The sequence below is a fragment of the Homo sapiens genome, chromosome 20 (genome assembly GCF_000001405.40).
Source record: "Homo sapiens chromosome 20, GRCh38.p14 Primary Assembly".
NCBI classification, from domain to species: domain Eukaryota; kingdom Metazoa; phylum Chordata; class Mammalia; order Primates; family Hominidae; genus Homo; species Homo sapiens.
This window is the reverse complement of record NC_000020.11, coordinates 53,698,576-53,716,261: the sequence shown is the minus strand read 5'-3', so window position 1 is coordinate 53,716,261 and position 17,686 is coordinate 53,698,576. Positions and strand designations below refer to the sequence as shown.

The following is a 17,686-nucleotide window of genomic DNA, read 5'->3' as shown; positions in this document are numbered from 1 at the left end:
ACCACCACGCCTGGCTAATTTTTTTTATTTTTAGTAGAGATGGGGTTTCGTCATGTTGGCCAGGATGGTCTCGAACTCCTGACCTCAAGTAATCCACCCGACTCGGTCTCCCAAAGTGCTGGGATTACAGGCATGAGCCATCATCCCCAGCATCCTACTTTTTAAGTGTAATTAAATAATTTTTAAAAAAGAATAATTAGGCCAGTCGCGGTGGCTCACGCCTGTAATCCCAGCACTTTGGGAGGCTGAGGCAGGTGGATCACGAGGTCAGGAATTCAAGACCAGCCTGGCCAACATGGTGAAACCCCATCTCTACTAAAAAATACAAAACTTAGCTGGGCATGGTGGCAGGTGCCTGTAATCCCAGCTACTCGGGAGGCTGAGGCAGGAGAATCGCTTGAACCCAGGCAGCAGAGGTTGCAGTGAGCTGACATCGCACCACTGCACTCCAGCTTGGGCGATAGAGTGAGACTCCATCTCAAAAAAAAAAAAAAAAAAAGAATAATTAATGGTGCAAGCCAGACTTATGAAGAGCTTTATTACGTGTAGGGCCCACCGTAAATGGAAACTCTGGTGCCCCTGGTTCAAATTTGTGAAGGGTTTTAAGACATCAGTATTGAAGCATTAAACCAAGCATGGGGCCTTCTGAGATCAGGGCCCTGTGCAGCTGCCCAGGTTGCATATCCTGGAGCCGACCTTGGCCATGAAGGCCAAACAAAATGTCTTGGGGCCAGACTGGGATCTACCTGGGTGATCAGTTTTCCTGAATTTTGTTTCACACCATAAACTCCCTCAAGAGAAGGGGCTGTGTTTCCTGAAAACCTTCCACATACTCCTTGTCTAGCAGGAGCTCAGGATTAGATGAGAGGAAGATCTGTATGATAGACCTACCTATGATAGATCTAGATTTGCATAGGTGAGGAGAAGCAGACATGCGTAGAGAGCTTCGGTAGCAGCAATGGAGCGTTTAATACTTTATGGGAAAGGAAACAAGTAAACTCTTTTTTTTTTTTTTTTTTTGAGATGGAGTCTCACTCTGTCACCCAGGCTGGAGTACAGTGGCATGATCTCGGCTCACTGCAACCTCTGCCTCCTGGGTTCAAGTGATTCTCTGCCTCAGCCTCCTGAGTAGCTGGGATTGCAGGTGCACGCCACCACGCCCCCGCTAATTTTTGTATTTTTAGTAGAGACGGGGTTTCCCCATGTTGGCCAGGCTGGTCTCAAACTCCTGGCCTCAAGTGATCCTCCCGCCTCGGCCTCCCAAAGTGCTGGGATTATGAGCATGAGCCAGCACACCCGACCAACAAGAAGTAGACTCTTAATCTTGAAGATTACAAAAATAATAATAAAAGGAATTGTCAACATTATCAAGCACTTCTTATGTGCCAGACACTGTTCTGAGCATTTTATATATTCACTCATTTGTTTAACCTTCAAAACAACCCTAAGAGGCAGGGATGATCATGGTACCCATTTTACAGATGAAGAAACTGAGGCACAGTGAAGTTAAGTCACTTGTCCCAGGTCACACAGCTAGGCAACGGTGCAGTCGGGACGCTGTTTAGTTCGTCTGCCTCCAGAGCCAGCACCCTTAGAATGCACTGCTGCAGAATGAATGGCTGGGCTTCCAGGAAGAGGACCATGGCATCCTTAGGCTGGTGCTGGAAGTTGGCCAAGGAAGTTTTTGCCAGCACCAGGTGGGATCAGGGTAATGGGAGGAGGAAACCAATAGGAAATAGATTTTGAAGGAAGAACAGGCAGCCTGGGCAGCTGGGAGGTCTGCAGAGTGGGAAGCAAAGATGGCTTCAGGCGACCCCTAGAGAAACTGGCCTCTAAGCTGCTCTGCCTAAGGCAAGAAAGAAATTCAGAGGCCAGGCGATGTGGCTCAGGTGATCCACCCGCCTCGGACTTTGGGAGGCCGAGGCGGGTGGATCACCTCAAGTCAGAAGTTCAAGACCAGCCGGGCCAACATGGTGAAACCCCGTCTCTACTAAAATACAAAAATTAGCTGGGTGTGGAGACGCGTGCCCGTAATCCGTGCTACTCAGGAGGCTGAGGCAGGAGAATCGCTTGAACCGGGGAGGCGATGGTTGCAGATTGCGCCACTACACTCCAATCTGGGCGACAGAGACTGTCCCAGAAAAAAAAAAGAAAGAAAATAAGGAAATTCAGATCTCTGGAGATAGAGACCAGGGAAGAGAGTTAAGAGGGAAAAACGTGAAGGAGGGAAGTGGAGCCAGCGCCTCTGGGACACCTGTGGAAGAAGAGAAGGAGGGCGAGGAGAAGAGCACAGCGGACAAGAGGAGCTTGTGCGGAAGAAAGGCCGAGGGCGGGTGTGGGAGTTGAGGGGTCTGTGGTGCAATCCCCTCCCCCAGCTCCGCTGCTCAGCTTTCGTCATTCTCACCTGACCTGTCGCATTCCACAGTAGTTGGAGGTGCTGGGTCTTTAGTACAAGCCAGGTGACTGGGGACCACTCCGCACAAGGCAGAGGGGAGGGGCGTTTCAGGGGTCCCAGTGTCTCCCCGACCCCTGGGAGTTTTCTCCACCTCTGCCAGGCACACTTGGTACTATGGGAAGCACCAGGACCCACCTTGGGCTGGGGTTGAAAGGAAGAATTTGATGGTTCTGCGCAGGAGCCCTTGTCCACCCACAGCCCTGGTCCACCTGGTGCGGGGGATTCCTCTTTATCCCATTTGGGGAAGGTTATAGCAAGCAAGGGCAATGGTCCCCTGTCATGGTCATCATTGTCCCCTGCTGCCGATGGCAGGATCAGGTGCAGAGGGGTGCTCAGTGTTTGTTGAGTGCATGAATGAAGTCCAGCAAACACAACTAGACCCGAGGGACTCACTGGGGTTGACAGGCAGGCTCCCTGGGAGGGGAAGGGGCTGCAGGAAGGAGGGGACCTGGGTTTGGGGAAGAATTGGTGCAGAATCCTGCCCCAGGCATGGTGGTGGCTACTCCGGAGGCTGAGGCAGGAGAATTGCTTGAACCCCTGAGGCGGAGGTTGCAGCGAGCCGAGACTGCGCCATTGCACTCCAGCCTGAGCAACAAGAGCGAAACTCCATCTCAAAAATAAATAAATAAATAAAATAAAAATCAAAATCCTGGCCCAGGATCTGGTCCCTAAGCTAAAGTCCCATCGTGGGTGCCGGCTAGTGAGAGAAAGGGAGCATTCGCAGCCTGGCTCACCCCAGCCCCCAGAAAGGCAGAGTCTCTCAAGCACGTGCACATTTGGAGCTGGGTAATTCTTTGTGGGGATTGCTTTGTGCGTTGTCTATTGTGCAGCATCTCAGCACCTTCACCCGCTAGATGACCCATGGTGATCCTCCCCACATTGGGAAAACCAACATGTCTCCAGACACTGCCAAACCAGGCCTCCACGCCTGGCTAATTTTTGTATTTTAGTAGAGACGGGGTTTCAGCATGTTGACCAGCCTTGGAATCGGCCACTGCTTTACGGTAACCTGCCCTCTTCTTTCCTCACCTCCGCGTCACAGACGCCTGGTTTCCAGCAACTCTGGTGGATTTTGCAATCACCAATCTGAGGACATCAGAGGAAAACTGAGACACCACAGGACACCTGAGTTCTCCCGCAAAACCCCTTTCCAGAGTGAGTTCAGTGGAATTCAAGCTGATGGATGTTACATCCACGCTCAAGATACTTTGTCAGTTTGTTGTGGTTGTTAGTGATTCAGCTGCTTTGTTTTAAAAATGAAGACACCAGGGCTCACAGGAGTTAAGTGACCTGCCCAAGTTCACGCAGCTCGCTGCCAAGCAAGCAGACCATTCATTTCTTACCTGCACGAACTAGTGGGAATGCTGCCAAATGATACAATTTTGAGTTGGCGAAGGGCATTCATGTTGGCGCTTTTAACCTCAAAGTGCCTGAAGGGTTAAGTAAAGTACCCTGGGGCCCGCTTTCCATTTCCAGCCTGCTCCCGGGGCTTTCTGTTTTGCTAAATGCCTGAAGGAGGCAGCTTGGCCAGCTGCAGCCTGTTTGGACATAACACTCAGTTGAGGGTCATTGTGATGCTCCTGAAAACAGGGAGAGAGGGAGGGAGGGAAGGAAGGAAGGAAGGGAGGGAAGGAAGGAGGGAGGGAAGTAGGGAGGGAAGAAGGAAGGAAGGGAAGGAGGGAGGAAAACTTCAAGTTCTTCAAACGCATGTATCAGGAATGAAGCAGGCGGGCTGTGGAACCAGTGGACGCCATGAGGCAATGTTTTTACATAAAACAATGAGGAGCAAGTGAGTGAAACTGGTTTGTTTTAAAACATGGTTGTCGTGTGTCATGCACTGTCCTCTCCGAGCCTTACTCACCTCTGTTGGCACGTGTGAGCCAGAGCTCACCCTGAACCTTAGGGATCAGGGTCATGTGTCAGACCAAGCCCCGGGAAGGGCAAGGCCAGAATCAGCATTCACCACCTGGATTGTTCCAGAATCCCAAACAACTCGAGGATGTGGCTCGCCACACTGGCTGCAGACGCCCTCACACTGGTGTTTGTCAGCAGACTCTGGTAAAGGGCTGCTTATGAGTTCCTTCCCAGACCTAGAGACATGTTTCTGCACTAGGCTGTGTGTGTCCCCAGCAGTGGTTCAGGTTGAGTGGGTAGCAGACAAGCAGAGGTAAGGCAACCAGATGCTGCACAGTCATTAAATATGTTTTTGTTGAGCACCTACTGTATACCAGGCACTGTTTTAGTCACTGGAATACAGCTACAGCTAAGTTCCTGCCCTTCCTCCTTGATCTGACAGAGTAGTCCATGGAGACAGTTAATAAACAAATCAATATTTATAATTTGCTCTGTTGCCCAGGCTGGAATGTAGTGACACAATCAGAGGTCACTGCAGCCTCGACCTCCTGGGCTCAGGGCTCAGGTAGTCCTCCCACCTCAGCCTCCCAAGTAGCTGGGACCACAGGCACACACTGCTACACCAGGCTAATATTTTCTGTTATTTAGATGGGGTCTACCCCGTTGCAATCCGTTACCATAAGATGCTGGTAATTCTCATGAGAAAACTGAAGCTGAATCAAGGGCTAGAGAATAACAGAGGGGGGCCATTTTAGGTAAGGGAAACAGGGAAGCCCTCTTGGAAAAGGGTGGGTTGGGGTTTTCTGGATTTTTCTTTTCTTTTTTTTTTTGGAGACAGGATTTCATTCTGTCACCCAGGCTGGATTATAGTGGCATAATCATAGCTCACTGCAGCCTCGACCTCCTGAGCTCAAGCAATCCTCCTCTCACCTCAGTCCTCCCGAGTAGCTGGGACTATATGCATGCATCACCATGCCCGGCTCATTTTATGTATTTTATTTATTTTTGTTTTTTTGAGAAGAAGTCGCACTCTGTCATACAGGCTGGAGTGCAGTGGCACAATCTCGGCTCACTGCAGCCTCCACCTCCAGGGTTCGAGCAATTCTCCTGCCTCAGCCTGCTGAGTATCTGAGATTACAGGCGCATGCCACCACACCTGGCTAATTTTTGTATTTTTAGTAGAGATGGGGTTTCACCATGTTGGCCAGGCTGATCTCGAACTCCTGACCTTGGGTGATCCACCCACCTCGGCCTCCCAAAGTGCTGGGATTACAGGCGTGAGCCACCGTGCCTGGCCTGGCTAATTTTTTATTTTTTGTAGAAACAGGGTCTCGCTATGTTGGTCAGGTTGGTCTCGAACTCCTGGACTCAAGGAATCCTAAGGAGGGAGATTGGAGGCTGTTCTGGAACACATACCATCAATGTCTTAGGTAAGAATGGAGTCCAAGGCCGGGTGCAGTGGCTCGCGCCTGTAATCCCAGCACTTTGGGAGGCCGAGGCAGGCGGATCACAAGGTCAGGAGATCGAGACCATCCTGGCTAACACGGTGAAACCCCATCTCTGCTAAAAATATAAAAAGTTAGCCGGGCGTGGTGGCAGGCGCCTGTAGTCCCAGCTACTCAGGAGATTGAGGCAGGAGAATGGCATGAACCCGGGAGGCAGAGGTTGCAGTGAGCCGAGATCACGCCACTGCACTCCAGCCTGGGCGACAGGGCGAGACTCCATCTCAAAAAAAAAAAAAGAATGGAGTCCAAGACTGTCAAACACACTTTTGAAAAAGGAGGTGGCTCAAACAGATATTGGTACACCAGGACTCACCACAGCATTATTCACAATAGTGAAAATGTGGAAATAACTCAAATGTACATCATCAGATGAACAGATTAACACAATGTAATATATACATGCAATGGAATATTATTCCACCTTAAAAAATAGAATTCTGGGCTGGGTGTGGTGGCACGCCTATAATCCCATCACTTTGGGAGGCCAAGAAGGATCACTCGCGCTCAGGAGTTCAAGACCAGCCTGGGCAACACAGGGAGATCCCCTTCTACAAAAATAATAGGAAATATTAGCCAGATGTAGCAGTGTGCATCTGTGGTCCCAGCTACTTGGGAGGCTGAGGTGGGAGGATTGCCTGAGCCCTGAGCTCGGGAGGTCGAGGCTGCAGTGATCTGTGATTGTGTCACTGCACTCCAGCCTGGGCAACAGAGTGAGAGCCGGTCTCAAAAAAAAAAAAAAAAAGGGGAATACTGATATATGCCTCAACATGGATGAATTTTGAGGACATTATGCTAAGTGCATGAGGCGAGACACAAAAGGACAAATATGAATATTGTATGGTTCCACTTATATGAGATACCTAGAATAGTGAAATGTATAGAGACGGAAAGTAGAGTGGAGGTTGCCAGGAGGTGGGAAAGGGGCGGATGGGAGTTAGTGTGTTTTTTTTGTTTTGTTTTGTTTTTCTTGAGACAGAGTCTTGCTCTGTCAGCCAGGCTGGAGTGCAGTGGCGCGATCTCAGCTCACTGCAACCTCCGCCTACTGGGTCCAAGCAATTCTCCTGCCTCAGCCTCCCAAGTAGCTGGGACTATAGGTGCACGCCACCACGCCTGGCTAATTTGTGTATTTTTTGTAGAGACGGGGTTTCACCACATTGGCCAGGCTGGTCTCAAACTCCTGACCTTGTGATCCATCCACCTCGGCCTCCCAAAGTGCTGGGATTACAGGCCTGAGCCACCATGCCTGGCCGGGGAGTTAGTGTTTAACAGGGATGGCATTTCAGTTTGGAATAATGAAAAAGTTCTGGAGATGGATGGTGGTGGTGGGTGCACAATGAGGTGAATGTACTTACTGTCACTGAACCATGCCTTGAAAAATGGTTACAATGAGGCCATGCATGGTAGCTCATGCCTGTAATCCCAACATTTTGGGAGGCTGAGGTGGGAGGATTGCTTGAGCCCAGGAGTTTGAGAGATCAGCCTGAGCAACATAGCAAGACCCCATCTCTACAAAAAAAAAAAAAAAATAGAAAAATTAGCTGGGCATGGTGGTACATGCCTGTAGTGCCAGCTACTCTGGAGGCTAGGATGGGAGGATGGCTTGAGCCTGGGGAGGTCAAAGCTGCAGTGAGCTGTCACTATGCCACTGCACTTTAGCCTGGGCAACAAAGTGAAACCCTGTTAAAAAAAAGAAAGAAAAGAAGACAGGGGAGGGGAGGGGAGGGGAGGGGAGGGGAGGATGGTCAGACTGGTAGATTTTTGTCTCGTATATTTTACCACAATTTTTAAAAACACACTTAACTGAAAAAAAAGAGGTAGTTGGTGGAGGGAGGAAGGCAGGGACAGGAACTACATTTGTTGAGTGAAAATGACCCTGGACCAGTCAGCCTGTTAAGCCTTCCATGCGTATTATCTCATTTAATCTTTACAACGTCTTTAGGCTTTAGATGTGAGCCTAGTTTACAGCTGAGCAAACCAATGCTCACAGCGATTCAGTGCCACAACAAAGCTGTGATTCCGTTCCACATTCCTCTCTCTGCCCACACTATTAACCTGCTGCCTTTAACCCACACATCACCCCCTTGTCATTTGCTTGAGCCATCTGCAAAAACCACTCTCTCCCATGCTACTTTCAACAGAGTTGGCTGCCACGGTAGAGACCTTAAAAGGGGCTGAATTGCATAGGATGAATTCATAAAAAATATGAGCTCATTTGAATCTTGAAATCTCAATGGTATCATTTTCATTTTGAAAATAAGTCATGTCACTTGTTCCACACACAAATTCAGGTACTTTTCTGGACACTGGAGAGTGTTAAAGAGATAAAGAAGCCAGCTACTTGATGAAGAGCCTGATCTAATAGGATAATCAGATAAAGAAATCAAAAGCACCAACTCTGTGTCACAAGCATTTGCTCAGGATGCAGAGGAAGCTCAGAGGATCCCAGAGAAGGGGTTTGCAGTTACTCCTAAGAAACCAGAACGCTCTTCCTCCCTAGAAAATGTTAGTCACCCTAGAACTTAAACTGAGTTAAGCAGAACTCTAACTTGCAGTTTCTGACACACTTTCACTTCCCCACCCACCTTCCTTCCCACTGGTCAGTTTCCTGGGAAACATTCGCATTTGGAGAACAAAAATACCAATAACATGTCATTAGAATGTCATCAACATGACAAGAACATTTTGTTAAAATAATTACAAGTCCTAAAGTACATGTGACAATTATTTTTAAATAAAATTCCTTTCACAGCAGGGAGTCACTAATGAGATGCTTTGTGTGTGTATATGTGTGTGTATGTGTGCAGGTGTGTATTGTGTGCCTGTGTATATGTGTATGTAAATGTGTGAATGCATGTGTACGTGTATGTGCATGTGTGTGTTTGAGCCTGTGTGCATGTGTATGTGTGCGCTTGTATATATGTGTGTGCTTGTGTGTATGTGTTTGTGTGTGTGTGTGCTTGTATATATGTGTGTGCTTGTGTTTGTGTGTGTATGTGTGCGCATGTGTGTGTGAGCTTGTGTGTGTGCGTACACATGTATTTAATACAAAAAAGCATTTGATTTCTCAGGATGTTTATGCCCTGGGTCAGAACAGTGATTGAGGTTTAATATTAACTTTGGCACAATTTAGGTAAATTCTGTTACTTGGAAAGAATTAGCAAGGCCTCTGGGGTTTTGTGATGGAGACAAGATATCATGGTTGTAACAAAACCTCATTTTTGTTAACTTTGTCCAAGAAAGAATAGGATGCTGCTGTTTCAAGAGATTTCGGTTCTGGGTCTCAAGTCAAAGGAAGGTTTGAGAATGTGGTGCATCAGAACTCTTTGTACTGGCTCTGGAAAGCTGATTTTGCACATGTCTTTTCAACTCTATCCTCACAGACTGCAGTCTAAAATTAGACATGGTGGGAATATTTACACCGTGGAAACTGACAAACACAACCAAGACTCCTCTGCCTCCACCCACTAGAACCAGTTAACCAGAGTGCCACTGGTCTAGGAGTTATAAACAGTTACTTTATACAGTTGTTCATGGGTATACAGCTTACCCATGAGATCCTGAAATAGACTGTTTCTGCTCATGTGAACTGCACCTCTGTGGTTAGAAAGGATGTTACTGTAATTTATGATACAAGATGGAGCCCTTTTCTCTTGTTTAAAAATGCACTGAAAGGATGTTGCAGGCCCCAAATGTGGGTTATCATAGCTTGCTTAGAAAGGGGAATTTGTAAAAGGGGCAATCTCTAGTTCTGGCAAGAAACTCTATCTGGGCTCCCACTAAGGGATTAAGTATCACGCAAGTACATTCTTGCAGCAGACCGATTCAGCTGGGAGGAAAGTCTCGCCACAACCGAGGGGTTTAGAGGAAAATAACAAATTGCTTCTCAGAACTGGTAGAGAGGATCTTTCAATTCAAGAACATACAGACAGCAAAATGCACAGAATGTAGAGACAGGGTGGGTTTTTTATTTTTATTTTTCAGGGAATTGTGCTCACCACATGTTCTGGTTCCATGGACAGAGAACACATTTTATCCCATCTGTAAGTAGAATATTTAAGATTCCTGAAATATTTTGAGTTTCCAAAAGAATTTTATCCTCAATTGATGATGCCTTGGTGCCTGAGTTACAATCTTAGAAAAGTCATACATGTGGTGAAATCAAATGTTGCATATAGTTAAGAACTTACCTGCTTGTAAGGTGAAGTCGCATGAGGAAAATTGACTTACTCATTGTGACCAAGAATTTGAAAATTCAAGCAAACACAGCCTTGAGGAAAGAGATGTATGAATGCAGCTTGCCTAATATTGGTCTAGCCTACAATTATGTGCAGTTATTCATGTGTATCCTTGGACATTACAATAAAAATACACCCAGAAAAGGAACTTATTTTGGCTTCAGTGTCAAGCATGATTTAAAAATACGAAAGTTTGGCCAGGCATGGTGGCTCACGCTTATAATCCAAGCACTTTGGGAGGCCAAGGTGGGTGGATCACTTGAGGTCAGGAGTTCAAGACCAGCCTGGCCAACATGGTGAAACCCTGTCTCTACTAAAAATACAAAAATTAGCTGGGTGTGGTGGCGGGCGCCTGTAATCCCAGCTACTCGGGTGGCTGAGGCAGGAGAATCGCTTGAACCCAGAAGGAGGAGGTTGCAGTGAGCTGGGATCATGACACTACACTCCAACCTGGGCAACAGAGCGAGACTTTGTCTCAAAATAATAATAAGAAGAAAATCAAAGGCCGGGCGCAGTGGCTCACGCCTGTAATTCCAGCACTTTGGGAGGCCGAGGCGGGTGAATCACCTGTGGTCGGGAGTTCGAGACCAGCCTGACCAACATGGAGAAACCCTGTCTCTACTAAAAATACAAAAAATTAGCCAAGTATGGTGGCGCATGCCTGTAATCCCAGTTACTCCGGAGGCTGAGGCAGGAGAAATGCTTGAACCTGGGAGGCGGAGGTTGCGGTGAGCTGAGATTGCACCACTGCACACCAGCCTGGGCAACAAGAGTGAAACTCCGTCTCAAAAATAAATAAATTAATTAAATAAAATAAAAATACAAAAAGTTATAGAGAAATTTTATTTTATCAGGACTTCTAAAGGGAAGACTTGCCTTCAAAGAAAACTCCAAACTATATTTTCCTAAGTCTCTCTCTCTGAATATTAACTAGCAGAATTACAGATGGAAGGCTTGGTAGGAGAGGGGAAAAATATAATTGGTGCACATATCTATTCTAAGCCAGAATGTGAGGTTTGTTATGGTTTCTTTTTATTTGCTTCCTTCTTCTCCTTTTTGGAATTCTGGCAGTGCCTCAAAAAGTTAAGCATAGCATTATCATATGATCCAACAATCCCACTCCTAGGTAAAAAAAAAAAAAAAAATTGAAAACAGGAAAGCAAACAGATATTTGTGCAGCCATGTTCATAGCAACACTACACGCAATACCTAAAATATGGAAGCAACCCAAATTCCATCAAGGGATGAACGGATAAACAAGATGTTGTACGTCCATGCAGTGGAATAGTATCCAGTTTTTGTTTTGTTTTTGTTTTTGTTTGACACGGAGTCTCGCTCTGTTGCCAGGCTGGAGTACAGCAGGGCAATCTCGGCTCACTGCATCCTCCGACTCCCTGGTTCAAGCCATTCTCCTGCCTCAGCCTCCCGAGTAGCTGGGATTACAGGCACACGCCACCACGCCCGGCTGATTTTTGTATTTTTAGTAGAGACGGGGTTTCACCATGTTGGCCAGGATGGTCTCCGTCTCCTGACCTCGTGATCTGTCCTCCTCGGCCTCCCAAAGTGCTGGGATTACAGGCATGAGCCACCGCGCCTGGCCATATCCAGTTTTTAAAAGAAATGAACAGGCCAGGCGGGGTGGCTCACACCTGTAATCCCAGCACTTTGGGAGGCAGAGGCAGGCGGATCACAAGCTCAGGAGATCGAGACCATCCTGGCCAACACGGTGAAACCCTGTCTCTACTAAAAATACAAAAATTAGCCGGGTGCGGTGGCGGGCGCCTGTAGTCCCAGCTACTCCAGAGGCTGAGGCAGGAGAATGGCGTGAACCCGGGAGGCGGAGCTTGCAGTGAGCCAAGATTGGGCCACTGCACTCCAGCCTGGGCGACAGAGCGAGACTCCGTCTCAAAAAAAAATAATAATAAAATAAAATAAGAAAGAAAAGAAATGAACAGGCTGGATGCAGGGGCTTATGCCTGTAATCCCAGCACTTTGGGAGGCTGAGGCAGGAGGATCACATGAGACCAGAAGTTTAAGATCAGCCTCAGCAACATAACAAGACTTCATCTCTACAAAAAATAAAATAAAACAAATAAAATGAAATAAAAAACACCCCGGGCGCTATAGCTTACAGCTGTAATCCCATCATTTTGGGAGGCCAACGCGGGCGGGTCACTTGAAGTCAGGAGTTGGAGACCAGCCTGGCCAACATGGTAGACCCCCGTCTCTACTAAAAATACAAAAATTAGCTGGATGTGGTGGCACGCACCTGTCGTACCAGCTACTCAGGATGCTGAGGCCGGAGAATTGCTTGAACCCGGGAGGCGGAAGTTGCAGTGAGCCGAGATTGTGCCACTGCACTCCAGCCTGGGCGACAGAGCAAGACTCCATCTCAAAAAAATAAATAGGCCAGCTCACGCCTGTAATCCCAGCACTTTGGGAGGCCGAGGCAGGTGGATCACTAGAGGTCAGGAGTTCAACACCGGCCTGACCAACATGGTGAAACCCCATCTCTACTAAAAATACAAAAAAAATTAGCTGGGCCTGGTGGCACCCGCCTATAATCCCAGCTACTTGGGAGGCTGAGGCAGGAGAATGGCTTGAACCTGGGAGGTGGAGGTTGCAGTGAGCCAAGATTGTGCCATTGCACTCCAGCCTGGGTGACAAAAGCAAAAGACTCCGTCTCAATAAATAAATAAATAAATAATAAAAAATTTAAAAAGTAAACTTCTGATATGTGCTACAACATTAAGGCTTAAGATCATGCTTAGTGGGCCGGGCGCAGTGACTCATGCCTGTAATCCCAGCACTTTGGGAGGCCGAGGCAGGCGGATCATCTGAGGTCAGGAGTTCGAGACCAGCCTGGCTAACATGATGAAACCCTGTTTCTACTAAAAATACAAAAAATTAGCCGGGCGTGTTGGCATGTGCCTGCAATCCCAGCTACTTGGGAGGCTAAGGCAGGAGAGTTGCTTGAACCCGGGAGGCAAAGGTTGCAGTGAACCAAGATCACACAACTGCACTCTAGCCTGGTCGACAGAGAGAGACTCTGGCTCAATAATAATAATAATAATAATAATAATAATAATAATAATAATAGCCTGGTTTGATGCTGTACACCTGAGTTCTCAGTTACTCAGGAGGGTGAGGCGGGCAGATCACTTGAGCTTGGGAGACGGAGGCTGCAGTGAACCATGACTGTACCATTGCACTGCACCCTGGGCGACGGAGCAACACCCCGTCTCAAATAAATAAATACATAAGAAACTACAAAAATGTATGGAGTCTTGCTCTGTCGCCCAGACTAGAGTGCAGTGGTACGATTTCAGCTCACTGCAGCCACCATTTTCTGGGTTCAAATGATTCTCCTGCCTCAGCCTCTCGAGTAACTGGGGCTACAGGCATGCGCCACCACGCCTGGCTAATATTTGTATTTTTAGTAGAGATGGGGTTTCACCATGTTGCCTGGCTGGTCTCAAACTCCTAGCATCAAGTGATCCGCCAGCCTCAGCCTCCCAAATGCTGGGATACAAGCATGAGCCACCACACCCGCCCCCTCACCCCCCCACTATTTATAAACACTGAATCTGCCCTATTTTATTTAAGAACACAGGTAATACCCTAAAGGTTGACATATTTCATCTTGTTTCCACTCGCCATGGTTCTGCAATGTCTGCTATTCTATTCGAAGACTTGCTGGGGTTTTTTTGTTTTGTTTTGTTTTGTTTTGTTTGAGACGGAGACTTGCTGTGTCGCCCAGACTGGAGCGCAGTGGCGCGATCTCGGCTCACTGCAAGCTCCGCCTCCCAGGTTCACGCCATTCTCCTGCCTCGGCCTCCTGAGTAGCTGGGACTTACAGGCGCCCGCCACCACGCCCGGCTAATTTTTTTGTATTATTTTAGTAGAGACGGGGTTTCACCGTGTTAGCCAGGATGGTTTCGATCTCCTGACCTCGTGGTGGTCCGTCCGCCTCGGCCTGCCAAAGTGCTGGGTTACAGGCGTGAGCCACCGCGCCCGGCCTTTTTTTTTTTTTTTTTCTTTAGACGGAGTTTCGCTCTTGTCCCCAGGCTGGAGTGCAGTGGTGTGATCTCGGCTCACTGCAACCTCCGCCTCCTGGGTTCAAGCGACTCTCCTGCTTCACCCTCCCGAGTAGCTGGGATTATAGGTTCATGCCACCACGCCTGGCTAATTTTTTTGTATTTTTAGTAGAGACGGGGTTTCGCCATGTTGGGCAGGCTAGTCTCAAACTCCTGACAGCAGGTGATCCGCCCACCTCGGCCTGCCAAAGTGCTGGGTTACAGGCGTGAGCCACTGTGCCCGGCCGCAGGCCTGTTTTAAGGATCAGACAAGTCAGTACCTGAGCAGCATAAAGCCATGAGTAGCTTTTTCAGTAAAACATTGTCTTTATAGCTCCATTTTTTACTTACTTTAGAGTGATTTAAATGAAAATAATATATTATTGCTTATAATATAATATGAGGAAAACTCCTGGCAATGGGAAGGAATGAACTGTGGACGCATGCCGCAATTTGGATGGACCTCAAGGGCATATTGAAGAGAAAAAAGCCACCCGGCTGGGCGCAGTGGCTCATGCCTATAATCCCAACACTTTGGGAGGCGGACGTGGGCGGATCGCTTTGAGCTCAGGAGTTGAAGACCAGCCATGGGCAACACGACAAGACCCCGTCTCTACAAAAAATACAAAAAAATTAGTGGTGACTTGAGCCTGTGGTCCTAGCTACTCGGGAGGCTGAGGTGGTGGGAGGATCGCTTGAGCCCTGGAAGCAAAGGTTGCGGTGAGCCAAGAGCATGCCACTGTACCCCAGCCTGGGTGACAGAGCCAGACCCTGTCTTAAAAGTAAACAAATAAAAAGTAAAAAGCCAATCTCAAAAGGTCATACACTGTAGGCTTCCATTTATATAACATTCTCAAAAATGACAAAAAATTATAAAGACAAAGAATAGGTAAGTGGCTGCCAGGGGTTGCGATGGTGAAGAGGAGAGAGAGTGTGGCTAACTAGAAGTGGATAAGTTGGGGAAGATCTCTGTGGTAATGGCACAGCTCTGTATCTTGATTGTGGTGGTGGTTACATGAATCTACACATGTGACAAAATGATATAGAACTCTACACGCACTCATTGTAGGACTGCCAATTTCCTGGTGTTGGCACCGTACTACCGTTTATAAGATGTAACCACTGGGGGAAACTAGATGGAGGATACATGAGACTTCTCTGCAGTCTTTACAACTTCCTGTGAAACTATAGTGATTACAAAATAAAACGTTGAAAGAAATCAATAATAGGGCTGGGCGTGGTGGCTCACGCCTGTAATCCCAGCACTTTGGGAGGCCAAGGCGGGTGGATCACAAGCTCAGGAGATCGAGACCATCCTGACTAACATGGTGAAACCCCGTCTCTACTAAAAGTACAAAAAATTAGCCAGGTGTGGTGGCGGGCGCCTGTAGTCTCAGCTACTCAGGAGGCTGAGGCAGGAGAATGGCGTGAACCCGGGAGGCAGAGCTTGCAGTGAGCAGAAATCGCGCCACTGCACTCCAGCCTGGACAACAGAGCGAGACTCCATCACAAAAAAGAAAGAAAGAAAGAAATCAATAATATGTATGCAATAAAACACTTCAGCTGAGGACAGTGGCTCGTGCCTGTATTCCCAGCACTTTGGGAGGCCGAGGCAGGAGGATCGCTTGAGCCTAGGAGTTTAAGACCAACCTGGCCAATATGGCAAAACCCTGTCTCTACTAAAAATACAAAAATTAGCCAGGCATGGTGGTGCACGCCTGTAGTCCCAACTACTTGGGAAACTGAGGCACAAGACTTGCTTGAACTCGGGAGGCAGTGGTTGCAGTGAGCCGAGATTGCGCCACTGCACTCCAGCCTGGGTGACAGAGCAAGACTCTGTCTCAAAAAAAAAAAAAAAAAAGAGTGGCTTTTAAATGATTAGATTTTCAGTATTTGACTTTGAACTTCCCAACAGCCAAGCCATAAAGAGAAGCCATCTGGAAAGAAACAGAGCAACTCTTTATTGTATTTTTCAGATGTTAATGTCTAAAAGATACTTCCTGGGAGGTTTTGAAACTGAGGTCCTAATGAGGAAATATTCTGAAAAGTAGTTTTTCCATGTGCAGAATTGCTTTTTATGGCCAGTTCTTGCAATTCTGCATCAAAGTCTAAGGAAGGGGAACTAAAATTTATCAGACACTTACTGGATGTCAGGGGCTTTACACATATTATAGCCTTTAATTATCCCCATTTAATACATTAAAAAACTGAGCCTTCAGGAGGTCATTTATTACCCAGAAATAAATGGGAAGTCAGGTGCCAGCTCAGCTCCAACGCCCAGGGTTTTTCCTCTCCTCTCTTCTCTCCTACACCTGACTACAGTGGCTGTTATCAGGACCTCTGTCTTGGGCTGCCATCTACAATTTGAGAACTTTGGTTCTCCTAAACTTGAGTACACATAAAAATCCCCTGGGAGAAATACACATTCTTGGGCCACATCCCAGTAAATTTTTTGTCAGTCTGAAGCAGGATGAGGTATCCTCATTTGCAATTGGTGCTTCAGGTATGTGGATGTCCTTCTTTCTTACTCTGCATTTGGGCATCACTGGATCATTCTATCATCAGAATGTTCTGGAATTTCCAAGCATTAAGGACAACCTGGTAAGGTGGCCAACCATTCCAGTTTGCTCAGAACTGAGGGTTTTCCCAGAACATGAGAATTTTAGTGCTAAAACCAGGAAAGTCCCAGACCAACTGGAACCACGTGGTCACCCTATTAGTTCAGGAGGTTAACTGACAGTCCCAGATTGTTCCTTTATGTGTGGAAATGCTCCCTGGGCACGGTGGCTCACACCTGTAATTTCAGCAACTGAAAAGAGTGAGCCAGGAGAACCCCTTAAGTCCAGGAGTTGGAGACCAACCAGGGCAACATAGTGAGACCCCATCTCTAAAATAAATAAATGAATAAATAAAACGTGAGCTAGATACTTGACAGGCTGAGGTGAGAGGATCTCTTGAGCCCAGGAATTTGAGGCTGCAGTAAGCTATGATTGTGCCACTGTACTCCAGCCTTGGCTAACAGAGAATAAAAGATGAAAGAAAGAAAAAAAGGAAAGAAAGAAACCAGCCTGACCAACATGGTGAAACCCCGTCTCTACTACAAATACAAAAAATTAGCCGGGCGTGGTGGCGGGTGCCTGTAATCCCAGCTACTTGGGAGGCTGAGGCAGGAGAATTGCTTGAACCCAGGAGGCAGAGGTTGCAGTGAGCTGAGATCGTGCCATTGCACTCCAGCCTGGACAACAAGAGCGAAACTCCATCACAAAACAAAACAAAACAAACAAAAAAAGGAGAATCATAATGAAATATAGGAAAGAATAGAAGGGATGAATACACCGAAATGTAAAAATTAGTAAAATAGAAAACAAAAAGAAATGGATTTGGTCATTTTACAGATGAGGAAGTTAGAGCTCAAAGAGGTTAAATCAACTGTCTAAGTGGTGACAGTTAGCAAGGGGTAGCAGGGCTGGGACTTGAACCTGGACATCTTAGATTCCAGAGCCTGAGTTCTTAACTATGGTGGGCTTGAGGTATAAGAACTCTTGCCGGGCGCGGTGGCTC

At 47.2% G+C, this 17,686-nt stretch overlaps 6 annotated features.

Moving 5' to 3' along the window:
• Positions 526-726: a silencer, noted in NCBI's record as "peak4270 fragment used in MPRA reporter construct". NCBI's record gives its function as "represses an SCP1 promoter by STARR-seq MPRAs in K562 erythroleukemia cells {active_cell/tissue: K562}" and the evidence as "EXISTENCE:reporter gene assay evidence [ECO:0000049][PMID:32103011]".
• Positions 2,245-3,146: an enhancer, noted in NCBI's record as "H3K27ac-H3K4me1 hESC enhancer chr20:52329655-52330556 (GRCh37/hg19 assembly coordinates)". NCBI's record gives its function as "activates a minimal SCP1, AML or CMV promoter by ChIP-STARR-seq in naive H9 embryonic stem cells {active_cell/tissue: H9 hESC(naive)}" and the evidence as "EXISTENCE:reporter gene assay evidence [ECO:0000049][PMID:30033119]".
• Positions 3,147-4,047: an enhancer, noted in NCBI's record as "H3K27ac-H3K4me1 hESC enhancer chr20:52328754-52329654 (GRCh37/hg19 assembly coordinates)". NCBI's record gives its function as "activates a minimal SCP1, AML or CMV promoter by ChIP-STARR-seq in primed H9 embryonic stem cells {active_cell/tissue: H9 hESC(primed)}" and the evidence as "EXISTENCE:reporter gene assay evidence [ECO:0000049][PMID:30033119]".
• Positions 4,048-4,949: an enhancer, noted in NCBI's record as "H3K27ac-H3K4me1 hESC enhancer chr20:52327852-52328753 (GRCh37/hg19 assembly coordinates)". NCBI's record gives its function as "activates a minimal SCP1, AML or CMV promoter by ChIP-STARR-seq in primed H9 embryonic stem cells {active_cell/tissue: H9 hESC(primed)}" and the evidence as "EXISTENCE:reporter gene assay evidence [ECO:0000049][PMID:30033119]".
• Positions 8,210-8,259: an enhancer, noted in NCBI's record as "active region_18131". NCBI's record gives its function as "activates an Ori minimal core promoter by ATAC-STARR-seq in GM12878 lymphoblastoid cells {active_cell/tissue: GM12878}" and the evidence as "EXISTENCE:reporter gene assay evidence [ECO:0000049][PMID:35858748]".
• Positions 17,486-17,686: a silencer, noted in NCBI's record as "peak4269 fragment used in MPRA reporter construct". NCBI's record gives its function as "represses an SCP1 promoter by STARR-seq MPRAs in K562 erythroleukemia cells {active_cell/tissue: K562}" and the evidence as "EXISTENCE:reporter gene assay evidence [ECO:0000049][PMID:32103011]".